Raw genomic sequence first — 22,207 nt, 5'->3', positions numbered from 1 at the left:
CTCTTCACATAATAGGGAAAGTGCGACATAACAGAGTTGTGTTGAAAGCAAGAGAAAATCAGTAATGCTGCCCAGAGAGCTCCCAGCTAGTGACAACATGGCACAATGGCTAAGCTTTCAGACTGTGGGCCCCAACTGCCTGTGACCTTGGGTGAGTTACTTCATCTCTCTAGGCTTTGTATCTCCGAGTTAAACAGAAAAAATGATAACAGTTTAGGTGTAATAAGGACCATACAGGCATAGTAAAAAGGGTTAGATGAGCATAATTAATGCCATATAATTGTGTATAAACACAAGTCTTCATAGTTTCATAGTAAAGCTTAATATCTGAGGAAGGCTTTGAAGAATAGGTAACCATTTTTCCATTAGGAAAGAAGGAGGGGCATTCGGATGAAAGGAAGTTTCTATTTCTTTATTTTTTTTTTTTCTTTTTTGGAGACAGGGTATTGCTTTGTCACTCATGCTGAAGTGCAGTGGCATGCTCTCTGCACACTGCAGCCTCATCCTCCTGGGCTCAAGGAATCCTCCCACCTTAGCCTCCTGAGTACCTGGGACCACAGGTGTGTAACCACCGTGCCTGGCTAATTTTTAAAAAACTATTTTATAAAGACGAGGTCTTGCTATCTTGCCCAGGCTGGTCTTAAACACCTAGACTCAAGTGATCCGCCCACCTCGGCCTCCCAAAGTGCTGGGATTACCAGTGTGAGCCACCGCACCCACCTGAAAGTTTTTATTTCTTGGAGAATTTTCCTCCACTACTGCTATAGCCGAATACCTGAGAGGAGATATCCAAAGTGTCAAGTGGCCGCAGGCTGGTGGGGCAACGGCCAGTCAAAACATCTGGAGGGTAAGCCATGAACACCGCAACAGAAAACTTTATACTTTTCCAGAGCTTCAGAAAGAGCCAACACATCTGCTTCTAGAATAACCCAACTGCCTAGAGGAGGATCCACACTGCCCTTTTTCTCCAGCCTAGGCATAGCCACCTTCCTCTTGGAATTCTTACAAATGCCTTAAAGGTGATGTGGAAGTCCTGGCAATCTGAACTCCAAAACAAAGCTCTAGTCTGTCCACTTCTCACCACTTCACCTTCCACAGACTCCTACCTCAACTCTCCACCTCTGTCTGGCCCCATTAATCCATTCTCCATGAACTAGGAAGAGTCATCTTCTTCATCCATATATGTTTTTTGCATTAGTCCCCCTTTAAAACGCCTCATACCATCCTTAGAATAAATCTGCACTCCTCTTTGAGGAGTTAAGGCCCTGCCTAACTTTTCCACTGCATTTCTCACCATCTTCTGTTCACTCACCTTGTTCCAACCACAGTGGCCTTCCGCAAGGACTGCCTCAAGGCCTGTACATATTGGGCCTCCTCTACTTGGCATCTTGCCCTCTCTCTTCCTGTCCTTCAGAGCTCAGCTTGGGGAAGAGTGAGGGTCAGAGGAAAGAGCACTCAAAAGGAAGCCAGGAAGCTGAGGCTCCCTCTCTGGCTCTGCCACCTCAAGCTCTGTGAGCCAGGATGTCACCCAGTGCTTCTGAGCCTCAGGGCATCCACCTGTAAAATTAGGGGATTGGACCAGACAGATGTGTGTACCCTCCTTCTGCTGCTGTTCAATAAACTTAACCCTGTAATAGGGTTTGGCTATGAGCACACCCAAATCTCATCTTGAATTGCAGCTCCCATAATTCCCACATGTTGTGGGAGGGACCTGGTAGGAGATAATGGAATCACGGAGGTGGTTTCCCCCATACTGTTCTCGTGGTAGTGAATAAGTAAGTCCCATGAGATCTGATTTTATAGGGGAAGCCCCTTTCACTTGGCTCTCATTCTCTCTTGTCTGCTGCCATGTAAGAGGTACCTTTTGTCTTCTGCCATGATTGTGAGGCCTCCCCAGCCACATTGAACTGTAAGTCCATTAAACTTATTTTTCTTTATAAATTATCCAGTCTCAGGTATGTCTTTATCAGCAGCATGAAAATGGACTAATACACCCTGCTTTTCTCCCTTCCTTCCCTCTGTGACCAGCCTTTTGAAAGCAATTTTCAAATCCTTCATTCAATTCCATTTCTCTCTTGCCTCCACTTTGAGTCTCAAAAATGTAAAGAACTGGAATGGAAAGAGCAGAAATCGTGAATGACATTTCCTTCTTGAAGGAAAACCTGAAACCAAAATAAAACTGGTGAATCCAGACAAGGACATTTTAATTTTTGCCTTTAAAAAAATTTTTATTTTAGAGATTTAGGAGGTACAAATGCAGTTTTCTTACAAGGATATATTGTGTAGTGGTAAAGTCCGGACTTTCAGTGGACACATCTCCCAAATAGTGAACATTGTATCTAACAGGTAATTTTTCAACCCTCACACCCTCCCATTTTCTCACCTTTTGGAGCCTCCAGTGTCTACTATTCCACCCTGTATGTGGCCATTGTTTCGCTCCCACTTATAAGTGTAGTATTTGACTTTCTGTTTCTGGGTTATTTCATTTAGGCAATGGCCCCCAGTTCTTCAGAAACAGACATTTTAAAAGTGAAAACACACTGCTCTGAGGATAATGACATGGGCCTATCACCAGACTTCCAGGCCGCAGGTAGCCTGGTTCTTTTTACTTTCTCCTTCCCATTATTTCCCTTCCTCCTGCTCTCTGTGTTCCCCCAGCACTGGCCTTCCTTCACTTCTTCCTAAAGCAGGGCCTTGGGGTATGTTATTCCCACCGCCAGAACACCAGACCAAACCCCTATATTATATGCTCTCACAGCACCAGGAATCTTCCCTTCATCATACAAATCATAGCTGTAATTTTACATTTAGTTTGTAATTATTCTATTGTGTCTTCCTACCCCTTTAACCTATATGTTCTCATAGGACAGGAGTCAGGTCTATTTAAACTTTTTGGTAATAAGTTTACTTCTTATTAGATAGCAGCTGGTGATCAATAAATATTCTGAATGAATATGTGTATAAAAAGAACAGAACAGGACACATTCTTTACATAGGATATACCCAATAACAGGTCCCCGCCTGGTGTCCATGTGGCAGCCAAGAATCTTTGGCCCACTATAGAATCTATTTAGGGTTTTCCTCCCCTCTTCCATACTGCTGACTGGAACTCACTATCAGCCCTAGACTTCCTTCTCTTCCCTTCATCTTACATGTCCCAAAAGTGCCTGAACAGCAGTGTTAAGAATGAAAAATAGAAGGAGAAAGTCACTTTTATCCTGACACTCAAACCAGACAAAAATATCACAAGAAAATTACAGACCAATATCTCTTATGAATATAGACAAAAATTCTCAACAAACTAAGTCCAGCAACATATGAAAAGGATTGTACAACATAATCAAGTAGAATTTATCCCAAGAATGCAAGGTTGGTTTAGTATCAAAAATTAGTTAATATGTAATATTAATATAATAAAGAATAAAAATCAAATAATCATCTTAATGGATACAGAAAAAGCATTTCAAAAAATCCAATACCATTTCATGATAGAAACACTCAACAAAGTAGGAAGAGAAAGAGAACTTCCTCAACCTGATAAAGTGTATTTGTGGAAAACCTACAGCTAGCATTATACTTAATGGTGAAAGACTGGGTGCTTTTACTTCTAAGATCCAGAACAAGACAAGGATGTCCACCTGTGCTACTTCTGTTTAACATTGTATTACAGGACCTAGCGAGGACAATTAGGCAAGGAAGTAAAAAAGGGAGGGAGGTAGAAAAACACATCTAGATTAGAAAGAAATAAATAAAACTGTCTATTCACAGATGACATGATCATGCATAGAGAAAATCCTTTAAAAATCTACCAAAAAGCTATTAAAACAAATAAATTTGTTTAGCAAGGTTGCAGAGCACAAGACCAATATAAAAAAAAGCAATTGTGTTTTCATATACTAGCAATGAACAATTCAAAAATCAAATTAAGCAAACAATTCCATTTACAACAACATTTAAAATAAAATACTTAAAAATCAATTTAACAAAATTTATGTAAAATGTATACTCTTAAAACTATGCAACAATGTTGAAAAAAATTAAGACCTTAATAAATGGAAAGCCATACCATGCTCATGTATCAAATGAATTGATATTGTTAAGATGACATTACTTCCCAAATTGATCTATAGACTAAACACCATTCCTACCACAACCCCAGCTGGCGCTGTCTCTCTGTTTATTTTTTTCTTTTTCACAGAAATTGATAAGCAGGCCCTAAAATGTATGTGGAAACTCAAGTACTGAGATAGCCAAAACAATCTTAAAAAATAAGAACAAAGTTGAATAACTCACAATTTCCAATTTAAAAACTTATTTCAAAGCTACAGTATCCAAGATAATGTGGTACTGGCATAAAAATGAACATACAGATCAATAAAATAACATTAAGACCCCATAAATAAACCCTCACATTTATGGTCAATTGATTTCAACAAGGCTGTCAAGAAAATTTGATTACTTTTCACAAATGTTGCTGGGACAATTGAATATCCACATGCATAAAAATAAAGTTGAATCCCTTCCTCACACCATATACAAAAATCTTTACTTAAAATAAAATGTAGACAAATTAAGAGAGCTAAAATTACAAAACTTTTAGAAGAAAACACAGGAATAAATCTTAATGAATCTGCATTTGTTGCACAAGCAACAAAAGAAAAAAAACAGATAATTGTACTTCATCAACATATTAAAACTTTTGTGTTGCAAAATAAACCATCAGGAAACTGAAAAGAAAACCTACAGGAAGAGAGAAAATATTTGCAAGAAACTTGTACCTAAAATAAAGAACACTTAACAACTCACTCAATAATAAAAAGACAAACCAATTTAAAAGTTGACAATGAATTTGAATAGACATTTCTCCAAAGAAGATATGCAAATGTCCAATAAGCACATGAAAAGATACCTAACCTCATTAGTCATTAGCGAAATGCAAGTCAAAACCACAAGATACCATTTCAAATCCAGAAAGATGACTATCCTCAAAAAAAGAGTTAAGTATTGGCAAAGATGTGAGGAAAATGGAACCCTCATATTGACAGCAAGAATGTAAGATGATGCAGCTGCTCTGGAAACCAGTTTGACAGTTCTTTAAAATGCTAAACATAGTTATCATATCACCCAATAACTCCACTACTAGGGGTCTATCCAGGAGAAATACAGACATATACCCATAAAAAGACTTGTATTTTAGTCTTTATAGCAGCATTATTCATAATAGCCAAACATTGGAAGCAACCTAGATGTCCATAAACTGATAAATGGACAATAAAATGTGGTATATCCATACAATGAACTTTTATTTGGCAATAAAAAGAAAGGAATTAATGACACATGCAACAACACAGATGAACAGTTAAAACATTACGCAGAGTGAAAGAAGCCAATCACAAAAGGATAAATACTGTTATGATTCCATATACATGAAATGTCCAAAATCAGCAAATCCATAGAAACAGAAAGTAGATGAGCAGTTTTCAGGGGCTGACAGGCTGGAAGGTAAGAAGGGAACCGCAACTACTGGGTAGGGGAGTTTCTTTTAGGGGAGATGAAAATGTTCCAAAATTAGATAGTGGTGGTAGTTGCATGACCTTATAAATTTGTTTTTAAAAATGCAACTATACTCTTTAAATGGATGAATTGTACACTATAAGAATTATATCTCAATAAAGCTGTTTTTTAAAAAAGAAAGGAAAGAAAAAAAGAAGCCCTGGGGTCATATTTCTCCTTATTTACCACTGAGCTCACTATATATATATATATATATATATATATATATATATATATACACACACACACACACACACACACACATACACACACACATACATGCATATATGTGTATGTGTGTGCATAATACAAAGTACATACACACATATATATTGTGTATATATATATAGTATATTGTATATATTACACCAGTCCTCGGTTTCCAAAGACCCACCCTGATGTTCTATTCCAAGGATCAGCAAATGAAGATCCACAAACCCAATCTAACTCTCAACCTGTTTTTGTTTTTGTATTGCTCTTTGGCAATACAAAAACAAAAATGCAGTTTTTACATTTTCAAAGGACTTTTTAAAAAATAAAAAAGAGTATGTGACAAAAATCAGTGCGGACTGCAAAGTCTAAAATATGTTTGCTCTCTGGGCCTTTATACAACAAGTTTGCTGACCCCCTGATCTATACCTTTTATTTTCTCTACATTTACCAAGAAGAAAAGGGGAGGAGGAGGAGGAGAAAGAATAAGAGGAAAACATACCCTTTCTTTTACATCATTGTTAGCCGTGAAAACAGTGCAGTATGGGGACCAGTTTGTACATATTCACGAGAGCCAACTGTTAAGTTTTTAAGACTTTTTAAGTCAGTTGATGTCATGTTGTAATTGGCCACAGCAGAAATATTTACGATACAGAAATTGGCAAACAGTTCAAATCAGGGCTTTTTTCCCCCTGCAGAGAGCCAGCGTATCTCAAATAAAAACCTTCCGAAAATCTTGTCGTCTTTGTACTTTTCAGAAATCAGAGAACAGGGAAGAAACCTACAATCAGATTTTTAGTCCACAGGGAATTTGCAGATGGGACGCCATGGTATAAAGCTAGGTGCAGATCAGGAAGTACATAGGGCAATGTCCCGTTCTTGCAAAGAAAAGAAACTTCAGACTCAAAGTGTCTCTCTGATCCTCCCTCCACCACTCCCACACTGCACTTTCTTTGCTGGGACATCTCTCTGCTCTATACATATAGGTGACCGCCAGGAGGGTCTCCACTCCCGATCTCTGGAGACTGCTGAGAAGGAGAAGCGCCCAGCCCACATGCCAGGACTATAGCAGGTGAAAACAAGTTCCTGGCATTAACCAGGGCATGGAGGGAAGATGTTCTAATCGCCACTAGGGGGAGGGCTGGTCACACTTTGCATCAAGGAGCCCGAGGGACCAGAATACAGAGGGCAAAAAAAGGCAACCAGAAGCGCTTTGGGAGGCCGAGGCGGGCGGATCACAAGGTCAGGAGATCCAGACCATCTTGGCTAACACGGTGAAACCCCGTCTCTACTAAAAATACAAAAAATTACCGGGCGAGGTGGCATGCACCTGTAGTCCCAGCTACTCCGGAGGCTACATTTTATTAACTTAATATTATTTATGTTAATTTTTAAGTAGCAAATAAAGTGGATTCGATATTGTCTGTTCAGTAGAGTGATTATATAAGTATGTTTTATATATGTATCATACACAACAAAATACAATATATTTGTGTGTGTGTGTGTGTGTGTGTGTGTGTGTGTGTGTGTGTGTATTCTCCTGTTCTGTTAAGTAAACTAGCAAGGAGTCAAGGAAGAGATTACTTACAAAAATGCCCAACCTGAATCTTCATGGTGTAACATGATGGCAATTAAGATTTTATTAATTACAAATTAAGACTCATTTTCCCATATGAAAAAGCAAACTATAGTATTATTTTTGAATGCTCAGCCATAAATTAAATAGGTTTCCCCAAGGCAGCTGGAAACCTACATTCCACATATAATGTTGTTTCTATTAGAAAATACTTCCCAACAACCTACTTATGAAGAGTGTTCAGAATAAAATGTGTTTATGAACTAGGCAAAAGAAAAAATAATGTGTACCCCTTAGAAAGTCACTCCCTCTTTCATTTCATTGTCTCATTGTATGATTATAACTGGAGTCCAAATTCCTCCCACCCACCCCAAGTTCTCTGTTCACTTCTCTTCTCTCCCTCTTCCCTAAAGAACTGTACTGTCTGCATCTCTTTTACAGTTACAATAAAATGAATTTCTCATAGATATGCTGCACTTTAAGGTTGTTGGCCCCATTTTTGCTGCTGTAGTAACTTTTCCTGGCTCCAGAAAAGCCACTGTAATCTAATGGAAATTGGACAAGGTCATGGAGCAGGCTAAGAAAAGACCTGGTAACCTACAAGTACTAAACCCAAGGCTCTCTTTCTATTTCTAGCATGAAAAATGGGCACAACATGACATTTTTCTCTGGTAAAGCAAAACCATTGTAAACACTCAGGACTGAAGGTGCTATTTGTGGAGTCAACTTCTAAAATTTGACTGCTTTGAGCTAGTAGGAATTACGATCTGTATAGTATGCTAATTTATACATAAATGTAATAAGGTACTAAACTTTAACACGTACACGCAATATCTGCTCACAATGTCCTGGTAAAGCTGTGAAAATATCCTATCAACCCAGACAACAGGGCATTTAAACAGCTACAGGCTATTATTAAGCAAGTAAGAAGTATTTATTTAGGCTATTTATACAGGCTATTACTAGCCCTAGGGAGGGCTTTACAGGGGTCATTTTATTATTAGTTTTTGTTGTTCATGTAATGCTTCATTGGTTAATTGATACGACCTCATAACTCCTCCAGCTAAACTTTGCTGGTTCAGGAGGCCATCAGTGAGAACAGCTATGTTAAGACCAGCAAGAGGCAAACCCAAAAGTGAGAGACAGGAAAGTTGTGAAAAACCAAGACAGGTGGCCAACCCATTTGAGGACGACTTGCATGGACATGAGAGAATGTGGCTCTCTCACCCTGAGGATGAAAGGCACAACCGCAACCTTCCAGCATCCCTAAGACAGAAAGTATTTCACGGAAAGGATTATGCCATATCTTGGAGAGATAAATGCATTTATTTCCTACTTATCTTCAGCAGCAGATGTAAACAGCCATTGGGACTTCTTCAAAGTCATTTCCAAAAATAGTATTAGGGATTCTAGAAGAGTTCTGCCTCTGACCACAATTCTGGCCAGAAGAGGGACTAAAAGGCCAGGAGAACTGAGATGACACCATAATAATAATGTCTTATACTAAATAAACATGTACCAAGTGCCAGACGCTGTGCTAAACACTCAATGTGCATGGTTTCATTTAATCATAACAAGACTCTATGATATAGGTACTATTTTATTCCCATTTATTTATTCAAGAAATATTTACAGACTACCTTCTATGTGGCAGGAATTGTTCTAGCCACTAGGGATTCAGAAATGAGCAAAACAGAAAAAAAAAATCTCTTCCTTTATGGAGTTTACCTTCTAGTAGGGGAGAGAAACAAAAGATGGAAGTGAATCAAATGTATGGAATTTCTTATAGCCAAAGAGCTAAAAGGGAAATTAGTGCAAAAAAGGATAGAAAGTTAGATGGATGTAATTTAAAATAGTGTAGCCAAGAAAGACCTTATTGAAAAGATGAACTTGAGAAAACATTTGAAGGAAGTGGAGAAGTCAAGCAGGTTATCTGGAGAAGTTCAAAGATAAGTTCAAAGTTACTTAGATGACAGCAAGTGTGGTGTGTTATTGGAACAGGAAGATGGCAATGTGGTGGAAGCATGGTGATTAAAGAGGGAAGTTGTAGAGAAATCAGAAAGTCAGAGCAGGTAGATCATGTAGAATCTTATTTGTAATTGTAAGGGCTTTTTTTTTTTTACTATGAGAGAAATGGGAAAATATTATAAAATTTAAGCAGAGGAGTCACATTATTTGCCTTATGTGTTAGTAGTATTGCTGTGGCTGTGTATGGAATCTAGACTTTGGGGGTGGTACAAGGATGGAAGCAGAGAGAGGTTGGGAAGTCACTGCAATAATTCAGGGATATGACTGCAGCTTGGTCTCGGCTGCCAGGAAGGGATGTGGTGATAACTGGTCAGATTGGGATTACATAATGAAGGCCTAGCTGCAGGATTGGTTAATGGGTTGAATGCTTTCTGTAAGAGGATGACTCCGAGGTTTTTGGCTCAAGTAATGACAAAAATGGGGCTGCCACTTACTGAGAGAAGGAATAAGTGAGAGAAGCAGGGAGCAGGCATATTAGGGTCACGTCTATCCATAAAGTAATGTTAGCAAAGGAAACAGTACTTCACAGTTAGAATCTTTAGAAGGCTGTGGCTCTCATGATTAAGATTCCAGTTCTATCTAAGTGATGCATACTTCACTCACTCATTCTTTTATTCATTTACTCCTTTATTCAACAAATTTTCATCAAGTGTCCATTGTGTGCCAAACAGTATGCTAGGTCTTAGACCTGTAGTGAGCAAGAAACACTTGGTTCCTTCCCTTCTTAAAACTTACGATCTGGAGGAAAAGCAATTATATTAAGCTATAAAACAAAACAAATAAAAAATTATTAATAAAGAAAGCAATGGCTGGGCACAGTGGCTCATGCCTGTAATCCCAGCACTTTGGGAGGCCAAGGTGTGAGGATCACTTGAGCCCAAGAGTTCGAGGCTGCAGTGAGCTATGATTGAAATGGTGCACTCCAGCCTGGGTGACAAAGAGAAACCCAGTCTCTAAAAAAAAGGAAAAGAAAAAGAAAGGGAAGTATTGGACAACTTCAGTAATTTGCCCATAGTTGCATAGGTGGGGAGAGACAGGGTTGGAACTTGACACAGGTGCCTCCTTCCAGAGTCCACATGCTCACTTTATGGAGTGATCAGATGCAAGCACCATCCAATGGAGAAGAGAGCACAAGCAGTCAAAAGGAGCACCAATACCACCCAGGAGATCCTGACCATGGCTGTGTCATGAAAACTACAGAACGTTTTCTGGGCCCAAGTTCCCTCATCTCTAAAATGAACCAGATGGTCTTCGCAGTCCCTTCTGTGTCTGAAACTGTGATTCTTTGATGTACATTGGTGTCCACATGTAGGAAAGAAGATGTGGGGAACACCCAGTCCAAGCTTCACTGACTTCACAGCTCTGCCTAGGACCAGGCCCGTGTCTGAAACTGGGAGCCACAGGACCCCAACCAAGTCCTTTGCTGCCCTGTCCTCAGAAGGACCTGATCAGGCAGAAGGAGCAGTGAAAGTAGGGGGTTGGCATGGGAGACCGCTCTCAGAGATGGGAGCAACTGGACGGTGTGAGCCAGAGAGAATGAGAGAAAAGACAAATTCAAGGATAGCAGACCCAGCCAGGTGCAGTGGCTCATGCCTGTAAGCCCAGCACTTTGGGAGTCTGAGGCAGGAGGCTGTGCCTACAAAAAGTAGCCAGGCACGGTGGTGTACACTTGCAGTCCTAGCTACTTGGGAGGCTGAGATCGGAGGATTGCTTGAGCCCAGGAGGTTGAGGCTACAGTAAGCAGAGATCATGCCACTGTACTCTAGCTTGGACGATAGAGCAAGACCCTGTCTCAAAAAGGAAAAAAAAATAGGATAGCCGATCCGTTAGACTGCCCCTGGATTTAGGTATCCTGAATGTGTGATTTTTCTCTTAAGCCTACGGTCGACAACATAAGGGACTCATGCATTTGAGTGTGATCCTGGGAAATGCAGACCCTTCACTATTTTGGCTCCAGTTTTCTCATCTGCAAAATGAGGCCAGATATTTTCTAAACTCGGTAATCTACGACCCCACATTCCTATAACCTCAGCATTTCTGTCCCTTAACTAAATTTCCAAAATAAACTTCTGCCTCCTAGAGTGTGCTTCTTGCCAAATTTCAAGACTCACTCAAATTGTCATTTGATCTAACAGTGCAGTTCTGGAAATAATCCAAATCAAAGATCTACCACAGAAGAAACATCTCAATGTTTGGTTAAAGAATTCCAACATTTAGCTACCATTTTTAGTATTTCTTTACATTTACTTCTACAATATAAATTTTAAGCCACCATAAATTATCCACAATCACAATACTCTTCCTAGAGCTCTGATGTCTTAAATATCTGCAAGATACTCAATAATGGAAAATATACTATTTTTTTCCTATTCACAAATTACAAATTGCTTCTCAGTGTTGGTATACTAAATTAATGACATTAACTACAGAATACAAAGCCCCAAACAAAGCAATGCTCTACATCAACATATTTTGATTTTCAGTGCCTAATTAAATCATGTAATTACAATAATCTCATTTTGTAAGTAGAGAAAATAAAATTTACAAATATTCTACAAATTGCCCCAAATCACATAGCACTGAAAAGTTTCCAAAAACTAAAACCAGTATTAATGCCTATAAACTCTTGACTCAAATTACTGAGTTATAATTATCATTGATAAACACTGAAAAAGGAGTGCAAAAGTAAGTAGTTTTGTTGTACACTTTTTTTTTTTTTTGAGACAGGGTCTCACTTTGTCAACCAGGCTGGAGTGCAGTGGCACGATCTCAGCTCACTGCAGCCTTGACCTCCTGGGCTCAAGCGATCTTCCCACCTCAGCTTGCCAAGTAGCTGGGATCACAGGTGCACATCACCATGCCAGCTAATTTTTTTTTTTTTTGTATTTTTAGTAGAGACAAGTTTTGCCATGTTGCCTAAGCTGGTCTTAAACTCCAGAGCTCAAGCGATCTGCCCACCTCAGCATCCCACAGTGCTAGGATTACAGGAGTGAGCCACTGTGACTGGCCTTGTTGTGCACTTTTAAAAAACTATGAAGCCTTAGTTTTCTGAAATAATGAATAATGAAACTAAATTTGGCAGGGGGTGGAGGGGGATGGAATCCTTATTACTCACCTTGGAATTTATCACCTTCTACCGTACTGCAATAGTAACTTGGGCTCAATTAATAAAACCAAGGAAAGTCTTCCATATATGTGTTTAATCTTCACTAGTAAAATCAATATATGCATATTTTAATGAGGTTTAAATGAAGTACGTTTAAAGCACAAGGGTATAAATTCATACATTAGTAGCAAAATATTATTAGATACGTGAAGGAATTCTTATAATCCTAAAGTATTTTTCACCCATCTGCCTCACTACCTAGACACATTCCAATCATCTTATTATCAACACAGCCACATGAGAAGGGTATTGTGATCTCTGCATGGTAAGTTAACAGAGACTCTGCTCTAAAAATGGCATTTACAATCTAAGTGTTCAGAGATGCACGTATTTCATAGAGAACGGAGATGGGTGCTGGTAATTTCCATTGCATAAAGATAGAAAACAAACACTTGTTTAAGGATATACACTTTCGAACGTTCATGAACCTTATTTTCTCTTCCCTCTTGCCTTCTCCAATTCCCTTTATTTCAGTCTCTTCTTGACATGTTCCCCTAGCATGACAGTTTTCGTTAGGTTACTTTTAACTATGCATAATTCATGCATTCATTTATTCATTTAACAGTACTTGCTGATGACCTACTATGTGCAGGTGCAGTGGTGGTCTCTGGGAATCAAAGATGAATGACAGTATCCCGCCTTCAAGGAGGATACCGTCTTGCAAATATTTGTCCATACACTTAATGGGCTGCGAGTGTGAGTCATTGTGGTTAAAACCAGGTAGCACCTGCCCTTCCCTGTAGAGCAAGCATCTTCACCTTCTTTCCAAACCACTTCTAGCACAGACTGTAAGCTCCCAAAGTGCTGAGACCACACATGAATCATCTCTGTTGCAGGAGCATCTAGCACAATGTCTGGCACATACATAGTTGGGCCCCATAAAGTGTATGGGAGGGATGGAGTGAAATTGGGTGACCAGGATGCATTACAAATGACTTTTGTCTTCAACTCAATTGAATCAGTTTTTAATTAACTATCTCCCTCTCTCTCCGAAGTGTAGACTTGGTATCAGAAGCTAAGTGGGATTTCCATTCCCGAAGCACAGAAACTCCTACTCTCGGAGAAGATGCCTTAGCCACTTTCCTAGGATCGTTTCATCAAATTTAATATCAAATTCCTGAGAACCCTCCCCAGGTGAGAGCAGGGTAGGCGAGCTGGCCCACGCCGTCCTCGCCTGCCCTCTGCAGGGCTCTGACCCTAGGACGAGGGCAGATTCCAAGAACTTTTTTCCCCTATGAGAAGTAGGGTCAGTTAAAGAAGAAAACCTCCTTGGGAGAATCCCATTAGGAAGGAGAGAGCCCAAAAGAGCTAAACATGCCCCCGAAAAGAAGTGAGCAGAATGTCGAGGGTCTCGAGGGTCTCTTTTGAACAGACAGGGTCTCGCCCGCCCTCGAAGCAGCTCAGGACAGTCCGGGGTCTCGGAGGACCCGCAGCGGCGCGGGGAGAGCGGCGAGCGGGGAGGGCAGCCAGCCGGAAGGCCGGCCGCTGTGGGGGTCACCCTGCTCCCGGGCGCTGTCGCCCTCCGCGAAACCTCCCGATGACAAGAATTAATGACCAGCTTCCAAAGGCGCCCAACATCAACCGTAGCGACCCTAAGCGTCACATTCGCCTCCTGCCTCGACCTCTGCCGCCTCCGGAGAGTCTGGAGCGTCTCAGAAGACCCAAACCTCCCACTCCGAACCCCCAGCTCCAAACTCCCCAGTGTCCCCACCCTCCAGCCCGTCTCGGGGCCGGTTCTCTCTCTCCTTGCCCCTGTCTTCCAGCCATCAGAAAGAGCAATGCCCTCTTCGCAGCCCCGAGTGAAAAACGAGGCAACATCCTAGTCGCACCTATATAAGCCCCTGGCTCGCCACTCCAGGGGGGCACGCCAAGGTCACCAGGATAGGTGTGACTGCCTCCACCTTCACTCTCCCCACATCCTTCCCTTTCTGAGATCCCCGGGGTCCGGTTCCTCTCCAGTCCCTCCTCCCAGTTGGGGGTCTTCTCCTTTTGGCACCCCATCACCGCACCGGGACCCCTCCCGGCCTGGCCCTCCTGGGGGGGTCCTTGCCCTCTCTCGAAACGCTCACTTGCTCTCCCGCGCAAGGCTCCCTTGTAAGTCTCCCCTCGGTTTCCTTATCCAAGGAGGGGAGATGTGCCTCCCACTCGCGCTGGGGGAGCGGCGGGGCAACCGACGCAAACTTCTGCTGCACTTACTTCGGGCCGAGGCTGCCGCCCCCTCGCCTCTCCTCGCTCTCCCACTGGCAGCTGCTCCGCGGAGACCTGGAGCCACCTCGCTCTCATGCCCCACACCAGCGCAGCTGCGAAATGCGCAAGAGGGGGAAGGGGTATCTCCCGGGCGAGCGTGCCGGGGGCCCGAGTCTGGGGCCGAGGTTCGGCCGCCGCTCGCGGCTGCCAGCCGAGTGGTGGCCTCTTCTGGCAGCCCGGGGATGCTGCGCAGGGCGCTGCGCGCCCTGCTCCTCCGCCGGGTCGTTTCTGCCCGACTTGCAGTTTCAGGGCATGCCAGGACTGCAGCACCCTCTCCGTCCTCCCCCGGAAACGACTTTCAATTCACCTGGAGGCTCTCGAGGCTCCCCCGCGGGCGGGTAGCGTGACAGTGGGTGCAGAGGAGAGGGAGGAGCGCGGGAACGGCGGCGGCCCCAGTGCGCCTCCCGCTTGCTTGGCGAGAAGCGCGCAGCCCTCTCCAGCCGCTCTCTTCTGGACTGCAGTCCTGACGTCACCCCCACCACCCCCCACCCCGCGGAGGAGCGGCGCGGAGGGTGGGGTGCAGGGAGTGAGGACGCGCGAGTGTGAGCTGGAGTGTAAGCGCGTGCGTGTGCACGCGCGCGTGTGCCCTGCAGGGCTGGGGACGGATGGGAACCGCGTCTGGATCCTGTGAGGAGCCAGAGCTCGCTCCCTGCAAACGGGCGCCGAGGGGCTGCCGCGAGCAGCCGGGGGCGCTCGCTTCCAGGTCGGGGCGGGGATACCAGGGAAGCAGAGTTTGGAGGCGACCGCAGGAAAAGGAAGAAGGCAGTACGGGTAGTTGGAGAGCGGGAGTTGGGCATTCTCTTTCCCCAAAGTTGGAGGCTGCACAGGATGCCTTTAAAAAGCTGCGCTAGAGGTTTAGGGGGGAAGAGTGGGATAGACGGTGTGGGAGAGTTGGTTTCCACGCTCCTGTAGGAGGGAGTTCGGCTTGGGGAAGAAGAGCTCAGAGTCCTTTCAACCTCCACCCCCGCGGCAGGTTCCAGCAAGGCAGCCAGCTTCGGTGCGCCAAGGGCGCCTCTAGCCTACTCGAAGCAAATCTCCAGCCCGGGGCCCCTGTCTACTAAGTTCCTGCAAAGAGATCAAAGGGGCCAGCCTTTTCCACCTGAGTCCCCTCCCTGCGTGAACCTCCGCCAGAAGCTGGGCGAAAGCACTCCGAACAAGCGAAAGGGGTCAAGGCCGAGGCTGGATTCCAGATGCAAGAGGGCCCCGCCCTTGGGTCCTGGGTCTGAGGTCAGTCGTAGGGGTGACAACTCCAAGCAGAGTTCCTTGAGCTCATCAGTGAGGCTACATTTGAGTTTTGCCATTCCCCGGGACCTTACACTAGAAAGCGATCCACGTTGTCACCCAACTTTACTGGTTCTCTGAAATTGTCTTGGGGGCCAAAAATAGAAGAGACTTTCTGCGAGAGAGCCAAACGAAGGTTCGTTAGGTGGTGCTGGGATGGCTAGAGGTTGTTCCTTGTTCCTGGAGCGTTTGTCCCTTAGCAGAGACCCAGACATCCTTGAGGCTGAGTGCCTGGTTCTGTGCGCCTTCTGCGCACCTCTGCCGGCTGCCGAGTGACCAACCCGGAGTTGCCCGCCCGCCGCCTCCCGGCTGGAGCAGAATGTGCAATGCGCCCCAGCCCGCGCCAGATCCGCCGTCAGCATCGAGGCATCAGGAGCGCTCTGCAGTGATCTCCAGTGCAGCCAGCAATTTTGCCACCGTCGAGTGGCAACGGTTTTTAACTGCGAGCGTCTTGCTTCCTGAATCCAGACACTGTTTAATCGCCAAGATGACTTTTTATTCATTAAAATATTTTTAATGGAAAGGGTAGAGAGTGGGAAGTGGCAAGTAAAAGAGGCAAAAATATTCTCCATCCACATACACTGTTTTTCAACCTTTTTAAAGTTACTGAAGTAGAGTCAGATCTGGATGAAGCAGCAGAAAGTTTCATTAACACTCTTGATTCTCAAATGGAAGCTCAACAGAATAGAAGCAAGCCTGAGATCCTAGTCTACTGTCTTAGGTTTAATGATCTTAAACACTCCCGCATTTGAAAATTCAAATTCTAGCTAATTAGACAAAATTATGGATATCCTTAACGATGCATTAGATTTCACGAATAAATAGAATAATTAAAATAAGTAACGTACAGCCCAGCATGTTCCTAATTAGAACAAAGGAGTACTAGAGAAGGCTGTAGATTCATTGCCCCGAGGGCTTCTTGCAACTGTAACCGTCCTATTTTTTAACGTGCAAATGTGAAAGCACCCTGACATCATGAAGGAATTACATAACTAGTTCCTCGTTCTGCATCTTTCAAAAGCAGCAATTTTTCAGTAGGAATCACTGTTCCTGAAAATGCTAATTCAGATTGATAGTGTGGGAATAGGCAAGTCATTGACAAATTAAAGGCATGATTTGAAAACAAAATTGTCAAGAGGCAGCTATGCTGGTACACAGGAACCTTCTTTGTTGGGTCACAGTTTTCGTTCCAAGCGTTCAATGCAGCAAGTAAGTGATGCCATATTAGCAGGTATCAGCCTGGCTAACATGCCACAGTAAGTAATGCTTATTTGATGTGGCAAGCCTAAGCCCTCCTTCCTTATTTCCCACTGCCTTCTGTTCACAACTCTACAACAACTGTTTTACTTTCTGATGTGATTGGTTGTTTGTATGTCTGCCTTCCTTCTCAACTTACAAGCTCCTCCAGGGCAGGAATTCTGTTTTTCTTTTCTTAGGACCCAGTGCAGTGCCTGGTATAAACAGCAGGCACTTAATAAATATATGTTGACTGAATTATTTTTTAAAGAGTATAACATAACATTTTAAAATCTGTTTTAAGCTGAACCCTATAGCATATATGTGAAACAAATGTGTATATACATACACATATTTACACATATATACACATGTGCACGTATATACACATGCACACATGCATATGTATGTATGTATGAAACTGAAAAGATGGAAAGGGGAAGAGAAGAGAAAAAAGAGGGGAAAGAAAAGGAGAGGAAAAAATGAACTCTGAAAACAGTAACTACCAATGGCTAAACAGTGACTCAATCTGAGTGAGGATTTGAACTGTCCGTAGAAACATCACTTGCTGCCCTTAACCTGTGAGATTTCTTTCGCATTGGTCTATTACCATGTACATGTTTTAAATTTTGGGGGTTTGGACCTCAGAAGCACTGTTCAAAGTACATTACAAATATTTCCCATTGCTTAGGAAGCAGCACATCATTTAAGTTGGGTATATGTGTTGGTGGTGAGTTCAGAAACACTGTTAGCTCAACGTGCCCTGGACTGTGCCCTAATCAGTGTGAGGAGAGTCAGAGTCCAGCAACTGCAATTATAGCCCAACAGGCCACAGGCCAATGTTTATGACTATGCTCTCAAACACAAGCCGCTTATGGCCAGGTGGTTCAATTGTCAAGCACAATAAAGGGACCAGGTAGAAAATTAGCCACACACACACACACACACACACACACACACACACACACACACACACACACACGTACATCAATCCATAGCTATGGAGCCAGAACATCATGTTTACAAGGAAGGAATAGCTCTGTTGGGTGTCAAAGAGTAGGGTCTTGGAGTGGGAAGGTAACTACTTTAATACTGCAGTGGCTTTTCATCACATACTCCATAGCCATTAAAGCTTCTAAGCCAAACCCTCTAGCAAATACATGTTGGCAAAACTATGGAGAATCATAATTCTGTCCTTCTAGAAGCTATCTCCACAGCAAAACAAGCTCCCCCTATCCTGGAGGCAGCTTCTCATTTTCTGTAACACAAAAGCAAATTTTAAAAAGACAAGAATAAGAATAAAAATTAATTATTTCTCATAGGACTTACCTTCCTATAGGCCCCTGAAAACCAGTTAGCACCAATCTTGTACATATTTATAGCATACCTATATATACGTATTTGTATATGTAGCTATACATATATGCATATATATGTATATAGACAGAGATACACACATATATATACACCACTTATAAAATATTGCCAAAATGATTTTAATAAATCTATTCAATTATGTAGGTATGTTTCTAGAGTGACATTTAGAAGAGGGCTAAAATAGCTCATCATAAAGAAAACATGATCAAAACATTTTAAACACTTGTTTCAGAGCATAGCAAATTTGGCAAAAAACACTGGCATTTGCCTGTAACTTCTCTCAGGACTTGAGCTGGCTCTTAATATTTTATGCTTCATGATATATTAATAGTTTTGTATTTGAACGGCTTGTGTAGTGCCCTCTAATCAGATAGAGTTAACCCTGAAGACAAAAATCGAAGTGGCCAATTCCTTTTTAAGGAGTCCTAAACTGATAAGAAGGCCTAAACTGATAAACTCAATAAATTCAAATTTCAAAAATATCATAACCAAAACAAGTAGTTGACATTATACATTTATAAATAGTACTCCCAAGGTAGTGCCAAGTTAAATTTCATACTAAAATGTTAATGAAGAAGCATTTAGATAACCAACTATTTTGTGGATAATGACAGATTAGCAATAATTTTGTGATGAAAGTTGGACTCGGCTATTATATTTAGAAATAAGGACATTTTACTTACACATATGTTTATATGTGGTAACTGTACTTCATCATAGATTTTCGTATGGAACTTACAATAGACCATTCCCTGAATCTTTTGTGATATATGGAACACTCTTCCTAAGTGGACTGCACTGACATCAAAGAACATCTTTGTGACATTATCAAACCTAATGATCAATAGTAAAAGGACAATTCATTGTTGTTTCCAGTTCAAGTTTTAAGAAGGGCTTCCTTAAAGGGTAGATCGTTACGTGTTTTTATAAAGGGTACCTCTATATGTAGATTTGCTTATCTGTGAAAGCACTGCCGCTAGTTGCAAAGTTTTCATTTTCCCCATTACTGGGTCAAGAAAAGTCCTAGCCAAGAGAATGGATTTAGAAAGTCTGTACCTATCAGACTTGGTCTCTCCACTCAAAGAGCCCACAGTCATCTTTTCCCCCCTTTTTTGTGAACTCCCTGTGAGTTGTGCTCTGGGAACTTGGAATGCAGACCTAGACCTGGGCAAGTAGGGGAGAACTGAATTTATGGGAACCAGTTGGAATTTCTCTTAATGTTTCAAGAAGTGTTTTTAGATGGTTTTAGTTACAGTACTTTGGTTCTTCTTGACTTCTATGGAGCAACTTCAACCTAAATCTAAAAGAACAGTTGCTTTTATCCTTCAGTTCTTCAAAAACACTTATTTAACACAATTTCATGCCTAGTCTCTTTCCACTTTTGCAGAGTAGCTTTTTTTCATTTAAAATGTCTAATTCAAGCAATTAGAATTTAGGCACCTCTGGGCACCTTGTCTGCCTACGTGTTTATAAAGCATTATATATACTTACTGCACTCTATAAATAATAACAGTAATCACCCTCTATACAAAATTAGAATGTTAGCATATTCAACCAGTCTAGTATGCTGATTTGCTTTAGTGCTTTATAATTATCTCATGAAACCTATGGTAAAAATGGGCACTACATTATACAATCTTCCCAAAATATGTTACTATATATTCTGGCAAAGAGATGCACCTGCAGTTTATCCCCACCTACCTCTGAGATACAGAAATGGTAGGATGATACTTAAGTTGTATTCATGTTGCAAACTGTTCCAAGTAATCTTTTCAGCCTTTTTCATCCAAAAACCCAGCCAGCATTTAGTATGGTTAAGATATCTTTGTCCAGGAGAAGTAACTTGAACAAGAAGATGGCAATGTATAATTTGCCCCCACATAAAGGATAGCTTGCAAATTATAGACTGCAACATTTAGATAACCAACCACTTTATGGATGATCACAGATTTATCACATGAAACATAGGGCCTAGGGGCAATTATGTAAGCTTTAACCAGTGGTAACTACCAATGGCCACCATTGTAAGCTGTCTGAGTTTCCATTGTCTGATTAAACAGCAATCAGAAGAGTAGCCTTGACTTTGTTGGAAAAACAGTGAACTGCCTCTCACTTTCAAACTCAGAGAAGAGAGCAAAGGCATTCCTGAAAATACAGAAGGAAAAAAAAAAAAACTCTTGGTTTGTGCTAAGCAGCGCTACTTGTCTCTTGCTGCAACAAAGGTGCCAGGTTGAAGTAATGAAGTTAGTACTGCAGCTGAAATCATTGAGCAGATAGGTTACACATCCAAAATACCCATGCCGTCTGAAAATAAATAGTGTGGAAAGAACGGCAGTACATAAAATTGAAAATCTCACACCATTCCACTACCTAAAAAGAGGGAGCTCCCTGGCTTCCCTGCTTTTTGCCTAGGGTTTTGCTTCTGATGCGGTCATGTTATTTTAATGTGCCAGAATAGAAACCTTGGCCAGAGACTTAGGCAGTCAAAAAAATTCCATTGTCTTAAGCTGTATATTTATCCTTCTGAATTAATTGAATATAGCACCATATAGTAAAAATGCCTCTGACACTGCTTCAGAAATACCTAAGGCAGAGTTCTCAGAAAGAACTGCCACAGAGCCAAAATGTTGGCAGAGGCGCTGAGTCTGCAGTCGGCAATCCTAACTCTCCCGCTTCTCTCTGGCAGAACAAAATCCATCGATTTTTACAGCACATGGAGTTTACCTTGGAGGAAGTTATCATTTGAAACATTATCCAATCCACCAACATAATCATTAGGTATGTATGTCTTCACTTGCAGTTGCTTAAAAAAAAAAAGGGGGCCATCTTGAATTAATCCTCAGATTTGTGTGTAAAAGACCATAGCAAATGAGAAATGCAAGGCAAAACGCCCTCCAGGAAGTTCCCATTAAAATGATGAAAGGAGAAGTGTACAGTAACTGCAACTGTTCTCCAGCAACTATTTCTGAACTTTTAAATGACTTATCTTCTTCTTAAAAAACCATCAGAAGACATGTGCTGTTCATGGCTGGGCAGGAAAAAAATGTATTTCAAAGGAGAAATAGTTAGACATGTGGTATGGGTGGGTTGAGGTGAGACAGGGTATCTTTCTAGCTTGAGTTTAAACTTGCATCCCAGAGGTCTATTGATAAGAGCAACGTATCTGTCAAAATCCGCACAACAAACAAAAAGGACTCTAGGTATTTTATGAAAGCAGTAATATACTGTCAGGAATTGGGTGCTCACAAAATCATTGCAGGATCTAGAGGAAAATGTTCTGACCTGAGTCTCCAGAAACGACATGCCAAAAACACAGAGCTGAACTCCTAGGCCAGCCACAGCTTTCAAGGCTGCCTCTGGAGCTCTGATCGTGCTACACCTCTGATCATGCTACACATTTGCTTAGCTGCTGCAGGTGCTCCTGGACCTCCAGAAGGCAGGAGATTACCAGTGCAGAGCAACTGTAATTCATGCAGTCTTCCTTGCCAGCACAATCAGCCAAAGCTGGCAGGAAGATGGGTCTTGCCTCACTT

At 42.0% G+C, this 22,207-nt stretch overlaps 1 protein-coding gene across 1 annotated transcript in view, besides 1 other annotated feature; it reads right to left on the bottom strand.

Moving 5' to 3' along the window:
• KIAA1217 overlaps nucleotides 1-15,237 on the bottom strand; it is an 853,117-nt gene extending 837,880 nt beyond the window's left edge. Inside the window, exon 1 of the mRNA NM_001098500.3 lies at nucleotides 14,730-15,237. The gene's annotated coding sequence lies outside the window, so the exon portion shown is untranslated. The remainder of the gene's footprint in view (nucleotides 1-14,729) is intronic.
• Nucleotides 6,952-7,001: an enhancer, noted in NCBI's record as "active region_3152". NCBI's record gives its function as "activates an Ori minimal core promoter by ATAC-STARR-seq in GM12878 lymphoblastoid cells {active_cell/tissue: GM12878}" and the evidence as "EXISTENCE:reporter gene assay evidence [ECO:0000049][PMID:35858748]".
• Nucleotides 15,238-22,207: the final 6,970 nt, after the last annotated feature.

Source organism: Homo sapiens, chromosome 10 (genome assembly GCF_000001405.40).
Source record: "Homo sapiens chromosome 10, GRCh38.p14 Primary Assembly".
NCBI classification, from domain to species: domain Eukaryota; kingdom Metazoa; phylum Chordata; class Mammalia; order Primates; family Hominidae; genus Homo; species Homo sapiens.
This window is presented reverse-complemented; position numbering and strand designations above follow the sequence as displayed.